The sequence below is a fragment of the Homo sapiens genome, chromosome 5 (assembly GCF_000001405.40).
Source record: "Homo sapiens chromosome 5, GRCh38.p14 Primary Assembly".
Taxonomy (NCBI): Eukaryota; Metazoa; Chordata; class Mammalia; order Primates; family Hominidae; genus Homo; species Homo sapiens.
Genome location: NC_000005.10, coordinates 2,584,578 through 2,593,126, shown reverse-complemented (window position 1 = coordinate 2,593,126; position 8,549 = coordinate 2,584,578). Strand labels below are relative to the sequence as shown.

The following is an 8,549-nucleotide window of genomic DNA, read 5'->3' as shown; positions in this document are numbered from 1 at the left end:
TCCAAAACTCGTTGTCATTAGAAATCCCTTACAAGATATCCGTCTCTGGCAAGGTTGCTTGTTTGGTTTAATTAAAGTGTTAAGTGAATTAGAAGTGACATCATTATAGAGAAATGGATGAGTGGGCTGGAAGTGGGTCAATGCGTCCTCACAGGAATACGGCGGAGGGCCTGGAGGCATCGTCATATTAACTTATTAAAGGGTTATGTGTTTCATGCAATTAAAAGAAATCTTACACGTTCAGCCTCCACACCCTACCAGCACCCTTCTCTCCAAGGGTAAAATGTGTCGTACTCTATAAAAAGTAGCATCGATGAAGACTACGATGTTTCTAAAAAGGCAGTTCATTTTACCCTGTTTCCCCCCACCCCAGGATACTTGGAAGATCAATTCTTAGGCTCAATTTTAGTAGTATTATTTGTATACGGTGCATATATAATTTATGTGTAAGTCTCAGAAGAGGAAATGGTTCTTTGGGTTACTTTCCGATGTTTGTATCGTAGTTTATATTAAATCATAAGCAGCATCACTCAAGAACAGAATGAGCTTGCTTCCTGCTCCAAAGCCCAAACTTGGCCACACCTCATTTACAGGTAAGCGCAGTGCTCTCCCTGTCTAATGACACAATGCTCAGGACCTTTGCAGGGTGGTGCTGCCCGAGTGTTTCAGATTCTCTTGCAGGGCTGAGACAGCCTGGCCCTGCCGAGCTGAGAGGCGGGAGAGGGGGCTCTGCAGGGCCAGGCAGGACATGGAATCTGCCACCGGCTGCTTAGAGGGGCCCCTTTGCTTTGCCAATTTGACCAAAGTTTTAGAGCTAAGCGCTGAGACTGATGGCCCGGGGCCAGTAGCAGGACTCCCACAGTCAGTGCTGATGTGGGGAAGTGAATGGAGGCGGGCAGGGCTGGCCACGCCCAGGAGGAGGCTGTGCAGGTGCGGAGCCCCAGGCGGCTCTCAACACCTCTTCCTAGAACTCCCTGTGCTGTTAGCATCTCTGAGGCTTCTGTGTTACAAGACATGTCCAGAAAACATGTCTAATTCCCCCGCTGTAGTTATCTCTGTGCTCATCTGTACCCATAAACAAACTGCATCCTGGGTGCTGGGTCCCAGGGCAGCTGCCCAGAGACAAAACCCACAGCATGTGCAGGCAGCGTCCCGCTCTCCGCTCTCCAAGCAGAGTCAGACAGCGTCTGCACCGGACGGGCTGCCGGCAGCTGCTCAGAGGCTGTGGACCTGGCTGCATTTTGCTGGGGACAGTTCTGCAAATTCCAGTGTGCACATTGGGGTGGAGGCTCCCAAGTCCAAGGTCTAGGGCCATCGTACCAGCCACACTCCTCTGGTGTCATGGTGCGGACGCCTCCTAGATTTTAGAGTTTGATGGTCTCAATCTACACTGGGAAAAGGCCATCTCTGGAAGTAGAGAGATTGCATGAGGGAAGTCTGCAGTATCCCAGCCCCTCTTTGTAAGACACAGGTGGGATTACCCTCACACCCCCAGGCCCAGCCTGGGTCCTGGGCAACCGCTTACCCTGGTGCTCAAGCCTGAAGCTCCTTCCTTTTCCTCCTTTCCCCTGACGCATTCCCAATATCCAACCCAACAGCATTCCCAAGGTTTTAGCTGGAATAGCCTCTCAAATGACCTGCTCCTCTCACCTGCACAGCCTCCCCTCTGTCCAAGCTGCCATCTCCTACCTGGGGCAGCCCCTGGACCATCCTTCCACGTCCACTCTGCCCCTCCAGCGACTCGCTACCATCCTCTGGAGGGACCTTTGAAGAACGTTCACGTCACGAGGCTGCTTCAAATTCATCGCAACCTCCCTGGACCTCAGGATAAGCCCTGCGCTCCTCCCTGGGACCCCTCAGGCCCCATCGCCACCCTCTGCTCTCACTGGGTCACCCACATGGGCTCTGCTGGGGCCTCAGCTCCCAGCACGGGTCTCTCAGGGGTCGACGCCTTCTTCTACCTTCCAAGGTTTCTGCCCTCCCTCGCCTGTGCTCCCTGCCTCATCTGTCAGGGCCTGGCACCCTTCTCTGCAACCCCCTCGGTGACTCCCCTGAGGCCCCCTCCTGTCTGCAGAGCCTCAGCTGTGCTGTGCTGCTGCAGCTCCTTTGCTGGTCTGATGTGAGCCGCCCAGCCTCCAGGACACGGGAACCACAGAGACCTCACGTCCCTGCCTCAGTTCCAGTGCCCAGAGCTCAGCAGGGATTTTTTCACTGGGGAAAGGGAGGTGTGGGGAATGGAGAAAGTCAGAATGTCCGGGACCCCCGGGATTTTCACAGGATGTGTGAAGGGGACACCGGGGCACTAGGCCCATTCTATGGACGGTGGCATTCAAAGTGCTTCCCAGGTAAGCTGCCGCAGCACTGCCTGGTGACTGAGAAAGGTGGGTTCTTGGCTCCCAGACCACCCCTCCTGGGTCAGAACCTTCCTGGGCTTTCTTCCCGACTGGCTTGCTTGTTGAAGTTGGGAATCACTGGCTTAGTGGGTGAGCAGGTTTGCTTTCCTTTTTTTTTTTCATTTTTGAGACGGAGTCTCACCCTGTCGCCCAGGCTGGAGTGCAGTGTTGTGATCTCGGTTCACTGCAACCTCCGCCTCCTGGGTTCAACCAATTCTCTTGCCTCAGCCACCCCAGTAGTTGGGATTACAGGCGCGCACCACCACGCCTGGCTAATTTTTGTATTTTTAGCAGAGACAGGGTTTTACCATGTTGGCCAGGCTGGTCTCGAACTCCAGACCTCAGGTGATCCGCCCGCCTCGGCCTCCTGAGGTGCTCGGATTACAGGCGTGAGCCACCGCACCTGGCTGGCATAGTTATTCTTAAGTCACTGATTGCAGAATTTCCCTGCGTTGTCCATGGAAGGCACCACCCATATTACACACCTGCATCTGTGCTTTCCTCAAAGGAACTTTTGGAAATAGGTATCACCATTTACAAAAAGCAAGTCACAATGCACGGTTTGAATTGCTATAATGATCTGTTGGCCCTGTGCCTTCCCCATGGCCCTGGTCCCAGGCAATCTGGGGAGCCCTGGGGAAAGCAGCCGCATCCCCCAAGTCCATTGCCCAAGCATCTTGGTGTCACAGGCCATGGGCTTCATGGCAGCCAGGACACACTGGGACCATCTCTAGGGCAGAGTTTCCACCAAACCCAGTTAGGTGACTTGCAGTGCCATCAGTGGCTGAGGCTGTGAACGTCTTCATAAATTGGCGTTCATCAACTGGTTAAAAGACAAGATCAGGTGTCTGAGTTTGCCCTGCAGTTTGATGGGGGAGTTTTCTATTCACTAGTTTTGCCTATCGTTGTTTAGGAAATGTTTAGACTTTTGGAAATGCCTCGTAGAAAGTCACTGTGGCTCTCTGGTGTCTTACAATTGCTAATTCATTTACACTGTCATCTGTTGTGCCTTGTCAGTTCTTTTACCATTATGCTGTACAAAATAAAGTTTTGTGATCATGGGCAGGCCTTGTATCCTATCTCAACAGGAGCAAATATTCTCTCTCTCTCTCTCTCTCTCTCTCTCTCTCTCTCTCTCTCTCTGTCTCTGCCCTCCCTCACCTGTGTCTCCTAACAGCGCATGACACAAAACTCTGCACCCTTTATCAGCATTCGATTAAGTCTGGGAAATAGCTGATTGATAGAAAGACAAAAACGGTGAGTAAAGAATGTAGGAGCTTTGGAAATTTGGCACTGAGAACAAATTGAAGCCCAATTAAGAAACAGGAAGAACTTGAAGTCATGCTTGCTGTGGAAACCACGTCTGCTTCTGTCATCAGAGCTAGATGGAGATAATGCACAATATTAGAATGTAAATTTGGAAAGGTGTGGCTTATTCAGACATGCCTGGCCAAAACAGACTGGCTATCACCCCATATTCTAAATAGAATATGTATGTCAAAGACAGATGGAGAGAGGGACCTTGAAGAGTTGAAAGCACTTAAATGTTTTTGTGCAGTCAAATCCCTATGAACCAGCTTAATAAAATAGGTAAGTCTCTGCTGAGTGTGAGCTCAGAACGGAAATGAGAATATTGCTGGCAGCAAATCAAGGGAGCCCGATTGAGCCACATTACATGAATTAGACAGCCCCACCCAAGTGTACACAGAGGCACGCTCATCACTCCACCCGGGTTGGTGATGAGTACCCTACACCACGTTTTCCAAAGAGAACTCGCTCTATCTTCAGGCGCCACCAAATTAAGGACATCAAATTGTATCCTATTTTTTCATTGCATTGAGTAAAACACATTTGTTCTCCCTTTGTCCTGTTTGGGTCAAATGGCATGTCCATTGTTTTCTGGCAGTGGCATCTTGGAACCATCGCTGAGAACGCCACTGTATCTGAACTCCTCTTTGCGGAGGCCTTTTCTTCCCTTCCTGTCACCTGCTGTGGCTGCTCACAGAAGTGTTGGACAGACAGGGCTAATGTTGATGGACTGTGGGTCAAATGTTAACTAGGAAAGATGCCACCAAAACTCAGGCACACACAGAACATCCTCACAGAGGAATAATTAATATTTTATTTCCGTGACCAAAAGGAAAAAGTCCCTAGTAAAAGACATAATAAATGCAAATCAAAGGGTCACTTTTCTCTCAATAGGTGCATTCATAAGTGCTCTTGTGAAATAGCAAAGCAAGCAGAAGAGACGGCAGGTGCGGCGAAGGGAAGACCGCTGAGTCCTCTGCCATCGGGATGGCCTCCCCAAGGCTGGGGCACACCACCCGGGTCCTTTCCCTGTGCACTTGCTGGGTTCCAGCTGTAAATAGATTTAGAGAATTTAGTTGTACCACATACCTTCAGAATTCCATCCAGCAAGTCCAGTGTTCAAAGTGTTAAAATACAGGTAGTTCTAAGCCTTACATGCAATCACAGTATCCTCTAATGTTAATTATTTTTGTGCCGTCTTATTGGATATCTTAAAACAAAAAACTCATATGAACTCATTCATCCTTTTAGGATTTTTATTACGTTTTAAAACAAATCACCAAAAGAGAACACTAAATGGAACAGTGTGCTGATTATTTTGGATTATTAGGCTTCCAAAAGACCAATCTTACTCTGCCATAGGTTAGAGAATGCCAGGTGGATTACCCCATCCATCTGCAAAATACTTAAATCCAGGTTCCTTGGGATATCTCTAGGATTCTGGCTAGACTCAGAGCCAGAATATCCACTATGGCTGAGTAATAAGTGATAAAAAACAGCAGGTTCAAACAGCGTGTGTTCATAACCTGGCTGTTCGGCGGGTCAGAAGTCTGGGCACGGTGTGGCCCGATTTTCTGCTCAGCTTCTCTATGGGTTTAGATCAAGGTGTCAGCCAGGGGTGCCGTTCACAGCTGTGGCGGGGGGTGCTCTTTCAGGCTCACTGGCTGTTGGCAGGTTCACTTCTTTAAAGTTGTGGGACTGAAGTCTCCATTTTCTTGCCATGCTTCACCTGGGAACCACAATTAGGTCCTAGAAGTCCTCTGAGGCCCCCTCCCTGTGGTCCCTACAGGTGGCCCATAGGGCAGGTGCTCGCTGTCAGGCCAGCCCTACCTAGTCTATCTTCCTTACTTTTCATACCCCAGCTGGGGAAAACTCTGCTTTGCGAGGGCTCACCTGATGAGGCCAGGCCCACCCAGGGCCTTTCCTTTCCATGTGGCCCAGTACAATCGTGAGGACGGCGCTGGTCACAGTCACAGCTTCCACCTTCCTCCAAAGGCCGCAGCTGCACAAAGCCTGGGGCACTGGGGCCACCTGAGAATTCTGCCCTTGGGAGGATGGGTGCAGATGAGGAAGAGAAATCCATGCTGTGCTCAGGAGCCAACCCAGATTGCTCCTTCTGGGATGGCCACCGCATGCTCTTCTTTAGGGGCCCAATGTGGCCCAGGCATGAGCCCTACGTCTCAGGAGGTGTCAAGGCCTGATTGTCCCAAACTTCCTCTCTGGTTCTGCAGGACTGGAGTTGGGTTTCTGCTTCTGAAGTTCTTCACCACATGAGCGGGGACCACCACTCCCTCCAGCAGCCCCTGAAAGGACGGAGATGGCCCAGAATGGCACACATAGGAGGCACAGGGGGCCAGAGGGGGTGACACCAGATCCCGAATGATGGGGATGCAGGCACGACAGAAATTCACCTTTCCTGAGTGTGTGGGTGGAGAGGGCTCTTTGAGAAAGTTTACACGGAGGACATGCCAGGGCCCAGTTCACTCAGGATTGACCAGAGCATTTACTCCAGCCATCACTTTGCCCTGGTTTGTTCTCAGAAGGTGAGGAAAGCAGAGGCAGGGACAGGCAGCAGTGAGAGCAGGAAGCACACCTGCAGCCCAGGCCTTAACTCCGAAGCCCTCCACTCTCCACCACCTATGCATGGCTGTGATGGGTTCCCATGTCCAGGCATCATGCCCTGACCCTCACCTCACACACAAGGGAACACACCTACATTCACTCAGGCATGCACATGTTACCTCTCTTCCTCCACTCCCCAAATAGCAAAAGTAAAAATACACATGTGACCTGAAGTGAAAGGAGAGGAAATAAGACTTCATCCATGTCTCCTTTTGCTTTCACAGTAACCGTGTACCGGCACCTGTTCCTCTATCTGCAGGTGAGCAAACTGAGGCTTCTTGCTCATGCTGCATGGCCAATAGAGCCAGGACCCAACCTGAGTCCACGGGATGTGCTCCTGGCCACTGCTCCAAGTGGGTCCTACATCCCTACGTGGGAGACACTATCTGCCAAATGGCTCTGATGACTCCAACCACCAACTGGGAAGAAAGTTAAATTTTGTGCAGAGAATGAGAATAAGCACAGAAGCTACTTTCCAGCAACCCACACAAGGCTTCTGTGTTTTCCCCAACACAGGCTCTCAGGAAGGCACCAGGTGCGCTGGGGTGACATGCCGGGTCTCGTCCAGTAAAGGAGGACAAGGTTCTTGCCCTTGAGAGGCTGGCTTGCCTTGGCTGCCCAGAGCATTTCTGGTGGGCGATAGCTGTTCCCAGATAGAGACTCCTTCAAACCAGAGTTGTGCATGAGCCGACAAGTGATTTCCACTTTAAGGCAGTGCATGGGGAGAGGGAGAGCCTAGAGTAGAAAGAACTGAGAGGAGACAAAAATAAGAGATCCCAGAGAGAAAACACTGTGGTTCCCAGCTGCATCTCCAGCACCCAGAACCAGCGCCTGTTCAGTAAAGCAGCACAGGGATGCTGACCAGTCCTGAGTTCCCTCTAGGACCCATGAGGAGGTGTGGTATGGAAGGGAAAACCAGGACATCTAGGGTTACTTTAAGTTTTTACTAAGAATACTTGAGCCATTCATCCATCCATCCATCTATCTACCAATCCACCTAACACTCATCCACCCATCCATTGACTCATCCACCCACTTATCCATTGGTTCATGCATCCATCCACACAAGAACCCATTCACTCATCCATTCATCCACCCATCCACCCACCCAATCACCCACCCACTCATCTATCAACCCGTCCACCCAACCATCCACCCATCCATCCATCCATCCATCCATCCATCCATCCAGTCATCTATCCATCTGCCCATCCACCTAGCCATACACCCACCAATATATCTGCCCATCCACCTATCCATACAACCACCAATATATCTGCCCATCCACCCAACCATCCATCCACCCCACCACCTATCCACCCACCCATTCACCTGTCTATCCATCCACCCATCCACCAACCTGTTCATTTATCCATCTCTCCACCCACCCATCTATCCATGCATTCACCCGTCTACCCATCCACTCATCCATCCATCCATCCATCCATCCATCCATCCATCCATCCATCTATCCATCCATCCAACCATCCATCCATCCATCCATCCATCCATCCATCCATCCATCTATCCATCCATCCACCCATTTACCTATCTGTCTGTCCATCTACCTATCCACCCATTCATCCATCTATCCACTCATCTGTCCATCTATCCCTCCATCCATCCATCCGTCCATCCATCCACCCATCCCTCCACCCATACATTCATCCATCCACCCATTCACCCAAACATCCATCCACCTGTCTAACCAACCATCTACCCAATCAGCCATCCACCCAACAGTCCATCTGTTCATGTATCCATCCACCCAACCACCCATCCATTCACCCATCCACCCAACCATCCATCCACCCAAACCATCCATCCATTCATCCATCCATCCATCCATCCATCCATCCATCCATCCATCTGTCTGTCTGTTCATCCACCCATCCACCCATTCACCCATCTACCCAAGTATCTATCTACCCATCCACCCAGCCATCCATCCACTCAACCACCCATCCGTCCATCCATCCACACATTCACCCACCTGTTCATCTATCCATCTGTCAATCCACTCACCCATCCATTTATCTGTTCACCCAACCATCCATATTTTTATCCATCCATCCATTCATCCATCCCTCCATCCATCCACTCGTCCACCCATCCACCCATCTACCCATCCATCCATCTATCCACCCATCAACCCATCCATCCACCCAAACTTCTATACACCCACCTCCCATCCACCCATACATTCATACACACATCCACCCATAC

The 8,549-nt window shown here is 50.7% G+C and overlaps 2 annotated features.

Annotated features, from left to right (window-relative positions):
• Nucleotides 332-892: an enhancer, noted in NCBI's record as "H3K4me1 hESC enhancer chr5:2592349-2592909 (GRCh37/hg19 assembly coordinates)". NCBI's record gives its function as "activates a minimal SCP1, AML or CMV promoter by ChIP-STARR-seq in naive H9 embryonic stem cells {active_cell/tissue: H9 hESC(naive)}" and the evidence as "EXISTENCE:reporter gene assay evidence [ECO:0000049][PMID:30033119]".
• Nucleotides 893-1,453: an enhancer, noted in NCBI's record as "H3K4me1 hESC enhancer chr5:2591788-2592348 (GRCh37/hg19 assembly coordinates)". NCBI's record gives its function as "activates a minimal SCP1, AML or CMV promoter by ChIP-STARR-seq in naive H9 embryonic stem cells {active_cell/tissue: H9 hESC(naive)}" and the evidence as "EXISTENCE:reporter gene assay evidence [ECO:0000049][PMID:30033119]".